This window comes from Homo sapiens, chromosome 20 (genome assembly GCF_000001405.40).
Source record: "Homo sapiens chromosome 20, GRCh38.p14 Primary Assembly".
Taxonomy (NCBI): Eukaryota; Metazoa; Chordata; class Mammalia; order Primates; family Hominidae; genus Homo; species Homo sapiens.
The window spans coordinates 32,475,324-32,493,499 of NC_000020.11; the positions used below are offsets into that span (position 1 = coordinate 32,475,324).

Below are 18,176 nucleotides of genomic sequence, written 5' to 3' on the forward strand. Positions count from 1 at the left end.
TCCAGGGCTGAAAGGGCCAGCCCCAGAAGTGCAGAGAAGGAAGGGGGCGGGGCAGGCCAGGGTTCGGACCAGACCGCAAAGGGGGTTCAGCTCAAGGGCCTGGGGGGCCGCCAGGGCGTTCCAAACAGCCGGATGGCCTGCTAGAGAGGACCACGCCTGCCTCCTCTCTCCTCGCTGCCGGCTTCGGGCCGGCCCTTGGCCAGTCATCCGGGAACCCCCGGGGCGGGGCCCCTTCAACCCAGCCCTCCAGGGGGAAGGGCCCCCACCTCCTCCAGGCCCAGCCTTTCAGGAGCAGCAAGCAACTGTGCCTGGGAGCTGGCTGTAAAACCAAGAAAGATGACCCAGCAGCTCCCACACCCGGAGTTCTGGCCTCCCCCCAGCAAGACACAATGGCCTCTGTGGGCCCCCAGTGAGGACCTCTGACAGAGCACCCCCCAAGCCTCCCCTCCGGGGCCCCCCTCACAGACACCTCTTTTATAGTGAGCAAACACACTTTGGTTGGAACTTTCTTAGACTGCTGTCCCTGAGGCAGACACATCTGCTCCAAGTGCTAGGGAACCAGTGTGGATTCGCCTCCACTCCCTCCCCCACCGGCTGGGCTGGTAGGGAGTTTCCTGGAATTTATAGCTTCTGTGCAGTGTGGACCCTCTGCTGAATCCAGAGGACAGGAGCTGGGCTGTGACGCCTGTAGTCCCCACGCGGCACACCCAGGGCCTCGGGGGATGGACAGAGCCCACGTGTCCTCTAGTGTCCTCTCCCCACACACAGGCACACGCACTCACTCTGCCTCCCTCCCACAGGCTGCCTGCTCCATAAACACAAGCACCTCCACCCACAGCCCTCCTTCGTGAAAACTCGCTCACACACCCGGAGGGACACACACACACACACACACACACACACACACACACACGTTCAAAAGGCTCTGCACAAAGGGTACAAAGGGACAACAAAACTCTCCCCTGTGCTAACTGGATGGAGGGAGACGAAGGGGAGGGGGAAGAGAGGCTGGCAGGTGGGGGAAGGTTCCTTGGAGCCTTGAGCAAGGCTGCAAGGTGCAGCCGGCTCCCCATCTTCCCAGCTGGTCGTGCCATGCGGGCTCCGGGAACCAGGAACGGGGCATCTTGCATGGGCCCCTTGCTACTTCCTGGATGCCCAGGGGGTGCCATGCTCTGGGTTTGACCTGAAGTCACAGCTGAAGGAGGAAGACTCTTGGGTATTGTTCAAATGCTCACGACTTAAAAGACAGAGTATTCTAGTAACAGTTGAAAGTGCCACCTACTCCAAACTCCCCATCCATCCATTCGACAGGTATTTACTGAGCACCTGCTATGGGCCAAGCTCCGCTCTAGGTGCTGGGAAACTCAGCTGTGGACCAGACACACTCCTGGCCTGCCTGGCACCCCTCGATCCACGAGGGAGATGGACAATGAGCAGAAAAACATTGATGACGGCTGCAAAGCACATGGAAGCAGGGCAAGAGGGCAGAGGGACCTGTTTGCCAGGGCAGCCCAGAAAAACCCCACGGGTCAGAAATGCTGGAGCAGAGGCCTGCGAGAAGTGAGGAGGGGAGCCCATGAGGTCTGTGTGGCTCCACGCAAGTTTCAGGCACAGGCAGCAGCAAGTGGGGCACAAGCTGCTGGGTTTGAGGAGAGGCAAGGAGGCTGCTGTGGGCAGGCATGGGCGGGCACACGGGGACAGAGGAGCCACACGAAAAGTTCCCCTCCCACAGTGCACGTAACCCTGGCAGGGCCGTACCTGCCATCTCTAGGTTGGAGAAAGGCTCTTGAACTCCACTCAATACGCACACTCTGGCCTCTCTCAGCCAAGTTCAAACCATAACAACAGAAGGCAAAGCTTCTCAGGGGCCCAGCGCTCCCCTGGACTTGTGGTATTTCACCCTCACTACAGGTCCACCAGGTAGGTACAGTTGACAGCCCCGCTCCACAGATGAGGAAACTGAGGCTCCAGGAGGTTAAGGTGCTCGCCCAAGGTCACGAGCTAACACGAGGCAGAGCCAGATCTGTGCAATCGCCAAGGACTGGACACGCCCTCCTAACTGAGTTGGCCCTCGCCTAGAACCCACACTGCTGCTGTGAACCACAATCCCAATTCCAAGCTGTATCCAGCTGTCACTGTCTTGTGGGTCTCTGCCCTGTCTTTCCCTGGAAAACCTTCGGTCCTTCCAACAGTGGGGACCAGACTGTATGTCCTCTGAATCCCGCACAAGGCAGTGAGACTTGTTGAATCAACTGAATTGCCTGGCATAGTGTTGGTGTTTAATGAGGACGCTCCATTAATTTGACAATTAAGGACTCTGGTCCCATTGCGCACAGTTCTTGAATGGAGGGCATATGAAGCCCAGGATGCAGGCTGGTGGGCTGGTGGCACCCTGGTGCCCTGCAATGCCTCCCTCCTGCCGCTGCCAGCCACCCCACACACAGCCAGGGTTTCTCTGGCTCACATCACTGAACTGTTCACCCAAATGCCCCCTCCAACCCTCACTCCCTTGATGGGTCCCACTGGGAAAAGGTGGGCTACACCTAACCTGGCATCAAAATCACCTGATTAGGAGGAGCACCCAGTGCCCACAGGCACGGGACTTCAGGCTAATGGTTTTATTAGATTTCCTCCCATGACCCCATAACACAGGCACCCACGTCAGGCCTAGCTCCAGCTCTGATAACTGCCCCTGCGAGGCCCGCCCCGCCTGCCCCAACTGCCCAGGGGCACGAAGCCAGCAGCACAGCTGGTGTGTAGACCCAGGCAGCCTGTGCCCAGAGCCTGCATCACACTGTCACCGCACCATGGGCCACCTCACCACATCTCCTCCCTTCAATGGGAGGAACCAGATTCCTTAACAACCAAGTGTCTCAAGATGAGGCCCAGAGGGAACTCATGGGTGATGAGGCTATATTTACACACACACACACACACACACACACACACACTCTCTCTCTCTCTCTCTCATGCATGCTCACTTTCTTCAATGAGTTGTTGCACATTTATTGAGCATCTACTATGTGCTGGCACTGTGCTAGGGACATAGATAACTAAGGCAGGGCTCCTTTACACCAGGCCTTGTTAGCTAGGAAAAGGGACCAGCAAAACTTCTGACCCACCTGTAGGTGCAGTGGGGAGACACTGTGGACACACTGCCTAGTCACCTAACGATGACTGCTTTCTCCCCAGCTCCCCAGGAAGTTTTCCCACAGCCTCCAGGGTTCTGCCATGTGGACCCCAGTTTTGTGAAAAGTGGTTCTAAGATTCTGATATCTTGACTGCTATAGCTTTTTTGAAAGACAGGATCTTACTGTCACATAGGCTGGAGTACAGTGGTGCAATAGTGGCTAACTACAGCCTCGACCCCCCAGGCTCCTGCCTCAGCCTCCCGAGGAGCTGGCACTACAGGCATATACCACCACGCCTGGCTAACTTTTAATTTTTTGTAGAGACAAGGGCTCACTATATCGCCCAGGCTGGCCTCGAACTCCTGGGCTCAAGTGCCTTGGCCTCCCAAAGTGCTGGGAGTGCGGGTGTGAGCTGCCACACCTGGCTGCGACAGCAAATTTTTTTTAAGTGAGAAATCAAGTCTATTAAGCCTAACTTTTCAAAAACACACAATACAAAAATAAGTTTTGGTCAGACTTACACAAACCCTTCAACACCCAGACTTTCAAGGGCTGAGGTAGAGAAGAAGACTTCCCAAGACCCCTCTGCAACCTGTCTGGCGCAGCACAGCCCAGTTCATGGGTGTAAGCCCCCCTAGCCGCAGATGGGCAGACTGTAGCTCCAGTCCCTCACTCACACCCTAAGCCAAGGCTGGAGAAGCAGGCTAATCACACAGGCAGTTACAAGTACACACAGATCAGAACCCGTCAACGACAACTGTGCAGAGGGGGAAAATACACCCAAGTCCAGAGGGCCATGCTGGAGGCACTGGTGCAGGTTTGAGAGTGGCCAAGGCCTCAGGCCTGCTCAGAGACCCAAGGTGCTCACTGGCTCACCCAGAGGTCACAGGGCGCTTTTTACTTTTCCCTTCAGGAATCTCAGATGAATTGAGGGCTATTTTCTCCCTTTCTGTTAACAAACTTCAACAAAACTTACATTAGAGAATAAAAGTGTGGGCTGGGTGTGATGGCTCACACCTGTAATGCCAACATTTTGGGAGGCTGAGGTGAATGAATTGCTTAAGGCCAGGAGTTCAAGACCCACCTGGGCAACACAGTGAGACGCTGTCTCTATTTACAAAAAAAAAGTGTGTGCAATCCATTACTTCTGGGTTCCCTCTCCCCAGTCCCCATGTGACTGGCCAGTCAGCTACCCCCTGGTTTCTCTAGCCTCTGCCCTTTGGACACCCTGAAGCCCGTGGCCTTGCCCACCCAGCAATCATTTATTCCAGCACCAAAGCCATCATGGGTCACAGGGTAACAGAGCCAAAGCCAAATGCTCTTCTGAAAAGGGAACTTAAGAGTTAGGCAGGCAGATGGGTAGCACCCAGTCAGCCTCTGGGACACACCCCAACCTGGGAGCCCTGCCTCTGGGGCAGAGGGAGAGGAGCTGACCAGACTCTCCCTGCTCTTATCTTCAGTCCAAAATTCATGGACAGGTTCAGTCTCTCTCCACCCAGCTTCTGAGGCCCTTCCTCTTCTGCATGGTAACTAGCACAACCACTGCCCAGCCCAGGAGGAGGAGAAAACGGGAGACCAGAGGGGAAATGGTGGAAATGGGCCTGTATCCATGGCTTGTAACTACGGGCAGGTGCTATCAGTAACCTGATTATTTTACAACTGGGGTCAATTTCTCTGGAACTGGGTTCCTGGTGCCTCTGAAGTTGAGCCATTTGCATCCTCCAGGACTTGGGATCCTGGGGCGTGCCTCACACGGTATTTTCCAGACCCTTCCTGAGAGCTGTAATTCTATCTCTACAGCTTGCTTGAGAAAGAAAAGGAGGAGGATTTGCTGAGAATTTAGTGCAATTTTAAGCCATAAGCCCTGACCAGGAGCCCTGGGTGTGTGTTTCAGAGGAGGGCAGGGGCAGGGATGTGCAGGGGATGTTTCTGGGCCAAGCAGGAAAGAGACCCCTCTCTATACAGCCCCCAGGCTTGTTCGACAGGAGGCTAAAGCTCCCACTGGGAAGAACACCAGCCTCAGGGGGTTGCCCCAGCACCAGCTCTATCCCAAAGCGGAGTCTCTTCTCAACCCACTGGTGGGCCCCTCCTTCTGGACACCTGTAGGCCCCTTCCAGGCCCTGGACATTCTTCCACACGAGGCGACTCTCCCCCTTGTCTCCATGTCAGCGAGCATTACACACGCAGCCTTCTGAGCATGCCAAGAAGGTACTGAACCGCATGTGACCCCAACTTAACCACTTCAGTTCATCAGATGGCTTATTAATGGAAGACGAAAAACCCCCAGCATCTAAAGCAACAGGGGTTCAAATCCTTGTTGTGAAGGAGCCGCACACATGAAACAGGAGGGTGGTCTGAGCCACAGCTCCTGGGGGGTGTGGGGTCCCAAGGCTGTTGCTTCATGGCTACACCCCAAGCCCACCTAGCCACCAGGGAAGGAGGCCAGCCTTCCAGCACTCCCTGCACAATTCCACTCCTTCCTGCAAACATGCCTCCTCTGCTTACTAGCCATGCAAGCACCAGCTCTTCTGGGAAATATGAGGCAGGAAGGGCTGAGACACAGCCAATCACCTACCACACTGGAGGCATTCTCGCTCTCTCTCCCTCACACTCACTCACACGCACACTGTGTCTGTCAGAAGCGTATTCCCATCTACATGTGGTCCTCTGTTGTCCCTGCTGTCATAGACACCTGGATGCTGGAAGTGAGCATTTCCCACACCTTCCCACTGTATATCAAGTGGAAAACAGGCTTTTGTTCCTAAGCAAAGGCACCTGGCTGCTCCCCATCAGCATTCCTCACCACGAGGGCCTCGCTGGTACCCTCAGACCCTGCCATTAATGGGGGTTTCTTTAAAAGTGAAGCTGGAGAGAGGAGCTTCAGCAGACAGGGATCTTCCAGCCAAAAGGAAGGCTGGAAGGGAGCCGCTGTGAGCTAATCCCCTGCAGGGCTGTCCTTCCAAGAAAGGAACCCAGACAACACAGAAAAAGTTCTTGAGCAATTCCCAGGCGGTCCAGCTCCACAGAGCCCCAGGGTAGGGGCCGCAGGAAAAGTTCCCCAAAGGCGTCTTCTCAGCTGGGAGGAAGGCCGTCTTCTCAGCTGGGAGGAAGGCCGCAGTGAGCTCTGTTCCCACTGTGCGGCAGGAAGGTGCTGAATAGGGTGGTGTCGCCCAGCTCAAGAGGTGCTGTCTTAAAACCCTGCTCTATAAAGCAAGCCCAGCCTGAGCCTGGATTAGACAGGAGCTTGATATTATTCAAGGACACATTTAGGCCCTAATGGCTTTCCAATGAAGGGGTAATTTACTACCCGGGGGGCTAAACTACCACAGGGCCTGGGCCATAAACGGGCCTTTTCCCCAGACCAACTCAGTCCAGAATCCGGCCTGTGTCAGGGGTCAAGACAGGGGCCTGGTCCCATCACACAGATGGCTCTCCCCAGAAGAGCCATGAGGTCCCCCAAACACCTCTCCCCACACCCCCTTTGGTGTGTGTGAGTTGGTGGGGCGGGGCGGGGGGGGGGGAGCAGGCTGGGGTTGCCAGCTGATTCTGGGATAAGTAGGGCTTTATCTCAAGGGAGAATCTATTTCAAGCCACAATCCTTCTCAGAAAGAGGAGGAAATCACAGAGTCCAAACACCATTTCAGGTGAAATCAGGAGGTTATTCATCTCCCCTCAGAGCAGACAGAAAGGAAAATCAATGTTTTAGAGGGGGAAAAAAGGTTCCATTTGAATTAATGGGTTTGTGGCTTCTCCATTGATCTGAGCCTCTTCACACTTTCTTTTTGTGCTTTTGTGCTCTTGGGGAGAGGGGAGGGAGTAGGGAATGGGGAGGAGGGGGTGGGCCTCCCATAAGGAAAAGGACGGTCTAACCTTAACCTTTCTACAGGAATAATGCTAATTAGCGAGGCTTAATGAGAACTTCCCCCAGGAAGCGCAGCCCGGTAGGGGCGGCCGGACTCGGGCAAACGCAGCTCCGGGTGGGAGCAGGGTCACTTCTGCTCCCGAGCGGCTGGAATAAAAATGCGGATTGCACTCCCCCCTCCTCCCTATCCAAAGTGTCCAGCCTTGAAGACAAGGTGGAGGGAGGAGAGAGAGGGCGGAGGTGTAAATCCAACTTAACCCCTGCGCGCGCCCTCGAGGCGGCCGGCTGCCCCCGCCCCGCCGTGTCCCCTCATTAAGGAAGGCCCCTTCGCCAGGGGCCGCCAACGCCCGCGGCTTCCGGTCAGACGGTGCACCTGAGAGGGACACCCCGTCCCCTCCCGGGAGGGACCCGGGCCTGCTGAAGTGGGCTCAACTCTGCAAACCGCGTCTCAACTCCCCGCGCCGCGCCGGGGAACCCCTCCCTGACACTCAACGCTTCCCGTCCTCACATCCCCAAACACAGTCCACTTCCCTTCTCGTGGCGGCCGCGGCAACCCGAGCCCGGCCCCCGCCCCGCCGCCAGAGAACGCCTCCCTCGCCGGGACGCGGTGCCGAGCCCGCTGCACACCGAGCGGCCGTGGCACAATACCGCGGCGCTGCGCGCACAATCACCGCCCCCCAGGACCCGCGGCGCGCACCCCGGGAGTGGGGTGCGCCCCGCGACCCTGGGCGCTCAGGGCCAGACACACCTCTTGGGCGCCCCGCGGCCCCCACAGTGCAGCCTTCATCGCCCCCCCTCCACTCTCGGGCACACTCACCCGCCCCCCGCCCCAGCCCACTCGGCCCAGGGCGCAGCCGCTCCCCCGCGCCCCCTCCCTCAGCCCCGGCAAAGGAAGCTCCCCCTGCGCCCCCCTCCCCAGAACCGCCCCCAGCCCCTCGCCCCCCTAACCGCAGCTCAACGGCCGGCGGCAGCAGCCGGAGAAGGGGGGCGGCGGCCCGGGCCCCGGAAACGGCCCGATCGCCGGGATCCGGGCCGGACTCCGTACCTGGGCTGGAAGCGAGGCGGAGATGGGCGGTCGGGATCCGCGAGTGAGCGGGGCGGGCGGCGGTGACAGCCCCACAGCTCCAGCTGCTGCTGCTGCTGCTGCCGCCGCGGCTGCCCGGGGAGAGGGGCTGGCACCACCGCGGCGCGTCACTGCCCGGCCCGGGGGCGGGGGTGGCCAGGAGGAGGGCCCAGGCGAGCAGCGGCGGCAGCGGCGGCGGCGCCGCGGCCCGGAGGAAGGGGGAGGGGGCACCGGGCACGGGGAGGCGGGAGAGGGGGCGGGACCGGGCACGGGGCGGGGGCGGGGGGGAGGGGAGCGCAGGGAGGGCGCAGGCAGGGGGAGTAGGAGGAGCAGCAGGAGGAGGTGGCGGAGGGGCGGGTGAGAGGGAGGAGTGGGCACGGGGGGAAGGGGAGAGAGGAAAAGGAGGCACCCAGGGAGAGGGGAGAGGAGAAAGGAGGGAGAGAGGCGCGGGGGGAGAAGAGGAGGAAGGAGGGGGAGCTGGGCCAGGTAGGGGGGGATAAGGGCGCGCTGGACGCGCCGCCGTGCGCTTCGGTGGGGAGCGCGCTCTTAAGGGGGAAGCGCTTCGAGGAAGATCCTTGCACGGGGCTGAGCCCGGAAAGAAGGCGCTGGGATCTGTGCCTACCCATCGCTCCCGGAGGCTGCGGTCTCTGGGTCCGGTGGGGGCTGGGGGGAGAGGGCACCCGGCGGGCTGTCTGCGGTCAGGCCAGGAGAGGGAGACTTGGCCCAAATAAAGTGACTCAGGCACCCTCAGGAACTCTCGGCGCCCGGGGCCCCTTCGGGCAGCCTTCGACCCCCATGCGTCTTTCGGGTCCCCAGGGACGCGGGTACTTGTGGGGCGGGGCTGCCGGGCCTCGGGGTTCGGCTCCCCCGGGCGGCCGGAGCGAGACCCCGGGCTGGGAAAGCCAGGCACGTGGCCGGCTCTCGGCCGTACCCCCGCCCCACCCCCACGGCAGGGCCCCCAGTGCTTGATCAAGTTCAAGCTCGAGCTCCTCGGCGCGCTGCCCACCGGCTGCCCCTCCGCGCCCCTCCCCCTTCCCCATCCGCACCGTCTCGCTCTTCACTCTTCCTTTGTCTCTTTCCCACCACTTAGTTTACACCCCCTCCGCCCTCCTCCCCGCCCCCCGCGGGCACCCGAGTGTCCGGGAGGCGCTCACCTGTTCGACCCAAACATCTACGCGACCCCCAGCGCCCGCCGCCCGCGTGCCCGCCCCCGCCCCGCCGCCGGTCATTGTGCTCCGCCAGCCCACACCGGGCCGGGTCCTGACGGCGCGCGAGCCACAGTTGTAAAGTAATAGGATAATCTCGGGGACGTCGCTCCAGCCCAGACCCGGGCACGCACTGTCCGTGGAGACGGCACCGCCGGGGAGGGGAGCCACGCGGATTCCAGATGCGGTCCCCCAGGCGGACAGACCCTTGCCCGGGGCGCAGGAGGAGGCAGGACTGGCATCGCGGGGTGGGAGCCCTGGACCTCCGAGCAACCTCGGACTCGGCCCGAAAAGCAACACTCTCATCACCAAACCGCAGAATTAGACCCCGATGGAGAAAATGGGTCAGGGGATCCATTCCCACCCCACCCCTCCAAATCCAGACCCTCCGCTACCACAGATCAGCCTCGAAAAAAGCTTGTGCTTCAACAAGGATGGGGAACTGCCCTCGTGGAATTCTGTGGGGAAATTGCCAAAAAAAAAAAAAAAAAAAAAAAAAAAAACAACTAAAAAAAAACCCTGATAAGGATCCCACCTCCTGATTCCTCTGGTCGCATCCGAAGAGGAAGGGCAATTTCTACTGACTCTTTACGCTACCATTCATTCACGGTGGAACCAGCAGAGAAGAGAAAACGAGACAGCCACAGCGATTGTTTGCAATTTTGAAACAGACTGCCTTTAACCCTCCAACTTTTTTTCTGTAAAAAGCCTTTTTTCTTTCTTCCTCTGAAAGCTTTGCATTGTGAACAATCCATGGTAAACAAGGCTCCCTCTACAGCCGCGAGTGCGAAGTACAACCCCACAGGTTCAGAGCCCAGCGTTTACCCGTCAGAAAAATAAAATGATGACAAGACATCACATTAGCGCCACGCAGGCTTCCTTCCGCACATGCTCAAGACTCTGCTGTCAATAGAAAACTCACACTTTCTTTTTAAAAGAGGGTTTAGGCACATTTACTCATTTGCACCTTTTATTCCTGAAATCAAATGTGTTTTCAAACCAATTCACTCTCCCCAGTTTACTGGATCTTCTCATCCTTGGTGATGTGGGGCAGGTGGGAGGCTTTATTTATCCACACATGCTGGTGCCCAATAATGATTTTTAGAACGAACTAGTGGCCACAGCTCTTAAGTTCATCCAGGAAATGTGTTTCCAAACGCGGGAACTGTCCATCCTCACTCTGAAAATGAGATAATTCAGACTCAGGATTTCCCTTTCCCCACCACATTTTCAGAGACCTTTGACTTCTCCTGGCCTGAATTACTATTTCACAGCAGTGGTGGACATCTGAGCTTGAAATATAAAGCCAAATACAACTGAAGTTCAAAGGTGGAATTGAACCCAGATAACCCACCTCTTCTCTGACTAATAAAAGAGAGCTAGTACCGCCCAGGAGGGCAGAGCAGTGATTTTCTGTAGGCATGAAACGTGAACTCATTTACTATCCCTGAGATAAAACAGCCCAGCCCTGCTCAACCCACAGAAAACAGTTGAGAGCCCTGCAGAAACCTGGCTGTTGAGCGGCACTGCAAATGAGGTGAGTTTTCATGTGTGTGTGCTGAAGCCCTCAGAAATCTCCCAGATCCTTATTCCTACAGGAGCTGCCACTCCTGGAGTAACCTTGTATAGGTTGTTTTCAGTGTCCTTGTGCCACTCCCCCACTCCTTAAAGTGGCCACAGCATGAGTCCCAATGAGGAATCGGGTGACCTAGTTTCTTGACCACTAATTCTCCCAGTGATGTGTCCCTTCTTCTGGCCCCAGCCTGGTAGGAGACCATGGCAGAGAAAGCTGATCCCATCTGCTTCGGGGGGACAATGCTGCCACAGGTCCCCTCCAGCCTCTGAAGACATTGGGTGCTTTTGTAAACAGATGATTAGGGTATGCTCTGATGGGGCTTTTTAAGCAGCAAACCCCTTTCTTTCATGCAGCTTCCCATATGAAGTAAGCATGTCCCACAAGTGGGGACCTGGCCATGGGACTCTGGTTTGCCATTATTAGGACAAATAGGATCTTAGCGTGACCAGAGCAGACACTGTTCAAGCACGTCAAAACATTAAAAAAAAAAATTATCCCCACAAATGACTTATTAATGACAGAGAAGAAAATGTACCTGCAATGGGGCGATCTGGCAGACACTTCCCAATCAAGTCATCAAATTCAGCAGCCTCCAAAGTGGGGCCACCAGACATGATGTCCTCGGCTCCTGAAGGGAGGCACTGGAAGACACAGCATCACTTGAGCCATGTGCTCCCCCAACATGCTTCACCTGAATCTGCTCCTCAAGAGACAACCAGACAAGAAATCCAGAAAGAGAAACTCCACAACACAACAGTCTTGGACTCTACAAAACATTCATTGTCACTAATTGACTTTCTAAACGATAAGATGAAAGAGAAATAACAGCCGGGTGCAGTGGCTCACACCTGTAATCCCAGCACTTTGGGAGGCCGAGGCGGGTGGATCACCTGAGGTCAGGGGTTCGAGACCAGCCTGGCCAACATGGTGAAACCCAGTCTCTACTAAAAACACAAAATTGGACGGGCGTGGTGGCACACACCTGTAATCCCAGCTACTCGGGAGGCTGGGGTAGGAGAATTGCTTGAACCCAGGAAGCAGAGGTTGCAGTGAGCCGAGATCATACCGTTGCACTCCAGCCTGGGCGACAGGAGCGAAACTCCATCTCAAAAAAAATTAAAGAGAGAGAAATAACAACTAAACTTAATGTGTGACTCTTCTTAGATCCTGTAGAGATGGAATGAGGTGTGGACAAGGGGTGGGGGAGAGGCAGAGGATGGGGGTGGAATGAGGGTGGGGGCCAGGGTGGGCTCTGGGCTGAGTGGTCAGGGAAGAGCTCTCCCAGGAGGAAGCCACTGGGTGTCCTAATCCCCAGAGGGCAGAAGTTGACAGCTGGGTGAAGACCTGGGGGCACTGTCTTCCAGGCAGAGGGAATAGTTGGTGCAAAACTGCTGATGAAAGGAAAGGTGACCAGAGTGCTAGAGCAATGTGGGCCAGGGGGAGGGCAGGAGGGATGAGCATCGGGGGGGCAAACAGGGCCAAGCATGCAACATCCTGAACATCCCCCGTGAGGTGTGTGGGCTTTACACTGGGAGTGAGGAGAGGATGCAATCTGAGTTACGTTTTTAGATCAGGGGAGATGAGATTATAAAGGAGCAGAAGTGATGACAGGGAGGCCAGTGAGGAGGTCTAATGGAAAGAGTATCATCAGATGGAACTAGTTCAAATTCTGGCTCTGACACTAGATGGATGACTTTGGGCACCATACCTAAACCTCTCTAAGCAACAGTTTATTCATCTACATGTGATCCACAGTTTTTGTTTGTTGGTTTTATTTTTTTTTTTTTTTGACCAAATCTTGCTGTGTCACCTAGGCTGGAGTGCAGTGGCACGATCTGGGCTCACTGCATCCTCCACCTCCCTGACTCAAGCCATTCTTGTGTCTCAGCCTCCCAAGTAGCTGGGATTACAGGTGTGTGCCACCATGCCTGGCTAATTTTTGTATTTTTAGTAGAGATGGAGTTTTACCATGTTGTCCAGGCTGGTCTCAAGCTCCTGGACTCAAGTGATCCACCCGCCTTGGCCTTCCAAAGACCCACTATGTTTAACGTGTGTTTAACGTAGCATTTGGCACCAAATTTTCCTCTTTGAGATTACAAACTGTGGTAGACAGTCTCCAAGATGGCCCATGATGACCCTCACCGCCCAGTTTCATACCCTGGTACCATCGCAATGCACAGGGCTGTGGAACCAATGGTGCATTGTGGAAATGAGGGTGTGTGACTGCCAAGGCTAGATCCTAAAAGACATCTTGATCTTTTCCCCAGAGGGAGTACTTGGTAGATGGTAGCTTTTATCATCAGGATTGTACATTTCATAATTGCACAATCGGGGTCACATCCCTCTCTCTAAATGCTACACTAGTTTACTCTGCCACCAGCAATATCTAGCAGCACTCATTTCACTGCACACTTGTCACTGCTTACTATTAGCAATCTCTTTTATCTCTGTCAATCTGAGGGAGGAAGAACAGTGTCTCTTATTTTCCTTTGCTCCTCTTCACTTGGGAATGTAAGTAGATGTTTCTGTGCACTGTGTTTACGGGGCACTTGTATTTCTTTTTCTTTCTTTCTTTTCTTTCTTTCTTTTCCTTCCTTCCTTCCTTCCTTCCTTCCTTCCTTCCTTCCTTCCTTTCTTTCTTTCTTTTTCTTTCTTTCTTTCTTTCTTTTTCTTTCTTTCTTTCTTTCTTTCTTTCTTTCTTTCTTTCTTTCTTTCTTTCTTTCTTTCTTTCTTTCCTCTCTCTTTCTTTCTTTCTGACTAACCTGTTCATATCCTTTGCCCATTTCTCTATTTGAATTGTTGGTCTTTTTTTTTTTTTTTTTTTGGTAAGAACTTTTTGGAAATAAGGAAAATTAATCTTTTGTCATGTATTTTGCAAATATGTTTTCCTTTTGTTGTCTTTTTATTTAGTTTATGACAAGATTTTTTTAGCCATATGGAAATTTTACATTTTTATATCATCTGATTTTTTTTTTTTCCTTTAGGGCTTTAGGGCTTCAGGTTAAAACAAAAGCTTTTTTCCACTCTAAGATTACAAAAGTAATTCACCTATATTTTCTTCTGGAAACTTTATGTCTTCATTACATTTAAATCTTTATTCCATCTTTTATTTATCTCAATATAAGTAATGAAGTGGGGATCTGGCTTATTTTTTTCTAAATGGCTTTCTAAGTGGTGTCAATACCATCTTTTATCTTTTATTTTTTATTTTTGAAACAGGGTCTCACTCTGTTACCCAGACTGAAGTGCAGTGGCATGATCTTGGCTCACTGCAGGCTCAATCCCCTGGACTCAAGCAATCCTCCTGCCTTAGCCTCCCAAAGTGCTGGAATTACAGGCATGTGCCACTGCACCTGGCCTAAATATCATCTTTTAAATAACTCATCTTTATCCACTAATTGGAAATGTCATCTTATACTAATTTTCTATTATGTGTGGATTTGTATTATATTCTGTTGACCTATTCCTGTCTCAGTATTATGGCTTTAAAATATGTTTTCTGGGCCGGGCGCAGTGGCTCACGCCTGTAATCCCAGCACTTTGGGAGGCCGAGGCAGGAGAATGGTGTGAACCTGGGAGGCAGAGCTTGCGGTTAGCCGAGATCATGCCACTGCACTCCAGCCTGGGTGACAGAGTGAGACTCCCTCTCAAATAAATAAATAAATAAATAAGTAAATAAGTTTTCTGGCCTGGCATGGTGACTCACGCCTGTAATCCCAGCATTTTGCGAAGCCGAGGTGGGCAGATCACTTCAGGTCATGAGTTTGAGACCAGCCTGGCCAACATGGTAAAACCCTGTCTCTACTAAAAATACAAAAATTAGCTGGGCGTGGTGGTGCGTGTCTGTAGTCCTAGCTACTGGGGAGGCTGAGGCAGGAGAATCGCTTGAACCCAGGAAGGGGAGGCTGCAGTAAGCCGGGATCATGCCACTGCACTCCAGCCTGGGTGACAGAGAGAGACTCCATCTCAAAAAAAAAAAAAAAAATATATATACACATATATATATGTATATACACACATTATGTATATATATGTTTTCCTACTAGGTAGGGCTAGCATCCATCTCTACCCCATAAACTGTCCCTGCTCACACCATAACAAAAATAATTGAAACAGTGTCACAGCCAAGGGGTACTCTAGGTACAGCATATTTATGGAGAAAGGAGAGATGTTTCTCCTGGGGGACTGGGGGGTGAGAGGGAAGGTTCCTGGAAGAGATGACATTTACTGTGAATCAAAGAAGTTGGGAGGCTTGCGACAGGTGGAAAGTAGGGAGGCATCCGGCTGGAAGAGGAGGATGTGGAGAATCCAGGGCTTCACAAGTGCCTGGATTCAAAACACCTGACCTGTGGGCTGGGCCATAGCGCTGACTATCCATTTATTCTTTATATTAACTGATTTTTGCATAGCTGCCTGCAACCTCACAGTCAGTTTGACACCTTTGCTGAAATCTAGGAGAAACAGTCCAATACTATTTCCTCATTCTTCTCTATTTAGATAAATTTTCCATTACGAATACAACTAACTGAGCCTGACTTGTTGAAATACATTCTCCTGAAAACCATGATAAAAGGTAAAAATTACAATTTCATTATTCTCCTTTTCAAAAAGTCTTGCTTTAAAATGTCATCAGTTAATTCTGGTCATGTCGCTCTCCTATTCCAAAACCTTCAATAACTCCCAGTCACCGGCGGAATCGAGTTATAGCTCTCTCTGGTCTGGCGTTGGAGGCCCCACTGGCCTGCTGGCCTTATTTCCTTCTGTTCCTCTCTGGGAACTCTGTAGCAGACGGACTCGCCATCTTTTGTCCCCTAGTCACCCATGTGCGACCCCTCCATGCCTTTGACCACACATGTTTTTAGGCCTGTGTTCCTTCCACACATATGTACAGAGCCACTACCACACACCAGGCGCCATGACAAGTGCAGGTGACATGGCAATGTACAATACAGACTCAGGGTTGACCATAGGGAGCCTCCAGGCCAGCAGGGGAGAGAGAGATTAAACAAGTGATGTCATGGGATCCTGATCTGCATGCTGGTCATGGGCGGTGTATTCCAGTTTGTACTTGATAGTCCTGAAACATTCTAGGAAGGAAGTCCCCAGGGTGTGAGAAGGAAGTAGCAGATCTGGGAGGGCTCCACTGAGGAGGTGACATTTAAGTTGGGCACTGAAGGATGAATGGGTGTTCATGAGGTGGAAAGGTGCCTGGGCTGTCAACAAAGACACCTTCCACCTCAGCCAAATCAAGATCCCTCCACAGACTGCCGCCCAGCTGGCTCTGAACTGACGCGTTTGTGGTACTTTCTGTTTCCTGCATTAACTTCATTTTCCGAACTGGGCCATTCGCTCTGAGGGCTGGGACAGGTTCTTAGAAGAGTTACCCTGCACACAGTAGGGATGCATCACTGCCTCACTCGGGCCCCTTCCTGCCCACTGCCAGCACAGCTCTGAAGTCTTCGATAGAGCTCAGAATGAAGCGGGCCATCCTGGACACGGGCCACACTTTGTAACTCCCATGGGGCATGCACATGCCTCTTTTCCCTCCCTTCTTTCCTGGTGCCCTTGGAGAGGCTCAGAGAAACTACCAAGGCCAGCCACAACCCTGCATTTCTACTTGCAGGTGTGTACACAATAAAATGAACACAGATGTTCCCTAAAGAACACACAGTAGGCTGGGCATGGTGGCTCACACCCATAATCCCAGCACTTTGGGAGGCTGAGGTGGGAGGATCACTTGAAGTCTGGAGTTCGAGATAAGCCTGGGCAACATAGCAAGACCCTGTCTCTGCAAAAAGAATTTAGCTGTGCATGATGGCATGCACCCGTAGTCCCAGCTACTGTGGAGGCTGAGGTGGGAGGATTGCTTGAGCCTGGGAGATCAAGGCTGCAGTGAGCTGTGATTGTGCCACTGCATTCTAGCCTGGGCCACAGAGCATGACCCTGTCTCGAAAGACAGAAAGAAGAAAGAACACATAGCAGACTGGTAGGCTGGTCATAGCAGCACTATTCACAACAGCTCCCAACTGTCCACCAATGAAGGATGGATACATTGTGGGCCCCCCATACCATGAAATATTACTCAGCCATAAAAAGAAACAAACTACTGACGCATGCCATAACACAGATGATGCTCACACACTTATGCTTGTGAGCAAACGAGCACATGCTGTACAATTCCATTTCTATAAAGTTCTAGAACAGGCAAAATCAATGTATGCTCCTAGAAGTCAGGTCAGTGGTCACCCTGGCCCAGGGGCAGTGACTAGAGGGAGCACAAAGGGTCTTTAGGGTGGTGCTGATGTTTTGTTTCTTGATCTGGACATGGGTCACAGGAGGTGGGGTCAGTTTGTGAACTTGGCTGAGCTGTGAAACTGAGTGATGCGTGCTCTTTTCTGAATGTGCATTATGCTTCAGTAGAAGTTTCAAAAGGGGAAACAGCAAGCCAGGTCAGCTTCCATGGCTAAGCAGCCTGGAGCTCGCTGTAGTCGATTACTGCAACCCACTGGACACCAGGCACCTGTGCTGGGCAGTGTGTATGTGTTATCTTATTTAATCCACCAAATAACAAGGTTGATATTCATTTGCCATTGTGCACATGAAGACTAGGGGCTTCTGGGAGAAGATTAAGTGACTCACCCAGTCACCCAAGAGTGGAGAAACTGGCACTCAGAGAGCAGGTGACACGTCCACAATCATGGAGCTAGAAGCTGCTGGCTGTGCTGGACCAAGATGTGTGGGTCTCCAGGGTGTGTGGTGGGCCCTGCTAAGGTGAGACCACTGAGCCAGGCCACGTGGTGCTGCGCTTCACCGACCTCCAGCAGAGCAGGAGGAATCCACCAGTGCGAGTCAGATGCAGCCAGAGATTTCCCTTGGGCCAAGACCTGGGAATGGGCTAGGACTGCTGTGAGGCCCTGCCTTGGGATGGACCCCAGGGCTTCTCCATACAAGCCTTGGAAGGAGGCTGGCCTTGGAAGCCTGAAGGGATGAAACTCTAGCTGGCTCTCCGGCAGGTGAGGAGAGGTAAGGACCCTCCACAGGCTGTGGGGGTGTGAGACTAACTTACGTTCACTCGGTCCAAGGAAGCCATGCAGGGAAACGGGCAGGTTACCAAGAGAAAGAGGCAGGCAGCACCTTCTGCCTAGGCCTGCAGTCCCTTCATGACAGAGCCCACAGCTCCGGTGTGGATGATGGCCCAAGGCTCTGGGGCCCGGGATGCTGCATGGGGACCTTTCTGGGGCTGAATCTAGTGTGTGGGGTCATGTCCAGGTGTGGAGGGGAGTGGGCAGCTGCGGACACGCTCTGTTTGCACTCAGGCCCTTGCTCGGTGTGACCTCAG

The 18,176-nt window shown here is 53.8% G+C and overlaps 1 protein-coding gene and 1 long non-coding RNA gene across 4 annotated transcripts in view, besides 4 other annotated features; one reads left to right on the forward strand and one right to left on the reverse strand.

Annotated features, from left to right (window-relative positions):
• Window positions 1–18,176, reverse strand: part of NOL4L (nucleolar protein 4 like) — a 142,275-nt gene that overhangs the window by 32,265 nt on the left and 91,834 nt on the right. For 2 of the 3 annotated variants that reach the window (NM_080616.6, NM_001351680.2), the window contains exon 1: window positions 8,039–8,167. The exons of the other annotated variant lie outside the window; for it this stretch is intronic. The gene's annotated coding sequence lies outside the window, so the exon portion shown is untranslated. Of the gene's footprint in view, window positions 1–8,038; window positions 8,168–18,176 lie in introns of those variants that run through there. 3 annotated transcript variants of the gene reach the window in all.
• Window positions 172–361: a silencer, noted in NCBI's record as "silent region_12788". NCBI's record gives its function as "represses an Ori minimal core promoter by ATAC-STARR-seq in GM12878 lymphoblastoid cells {active_cell/tissue: GM12878}" and the evidence as "EXISTENCE:reporter gene assay evidence [ECO:0000049][PMID:35858748]".
• Window positions 1,533–2,304: an enhancer, noted in NCBI's record as "H3K4me1 hESC enhancer chr20:31064659-31065430 (GRCh37/hg19 assembly coordinates)". NCBI's record gives its function as "activates a minimal SCP1, AML or CMV promoter by ChIP-STARR-seq in naive H9 embryonic stem cells {active_cell/tissue: H9 hESC(naive)}" and the evidence as "EXISTENCE:reporter gene assay evidence [ECO:0000049][PMID:30033119]".
• Window positions 7,572–7,681: a silencer, noted in NCBI's record as "silent region_12789". NCBI's record gives its function as "represses an Ori minimal core promoter by ATAC-STARR-seq in GM12878 lymphoblastoid cells {active_cell/tissue: GM12878}" and the evidence as "EXISTENCE:reporter gene assay evidence [ECO:0000049][PMID:35858748]".
• Window positions 8,042–8,201: a silencer, noted in NCBI's record as "silent region_12790". NCBI's record gives its function as "represses an Ori minimal core promoter by ATAC-STARR-seq in GM12878 lymphoblastoid cells {active_cell/tissue: GM12878}" and the evidence as "EXISTENCE:reporter gene assay evidence [ECO:0000049][PMID:35858748]".
• LOC124904886 (uncharacterized) lies at window positions 10,707–11,979 on the forward strand. The gene is made up of 2 exons (XR_007067564.1): window positions 10,707–10,798; window positions 11,191–11,979. It is a non-coding gene; the product is annotated as an uncharacterized LOC124904886 (long non-coding RNA).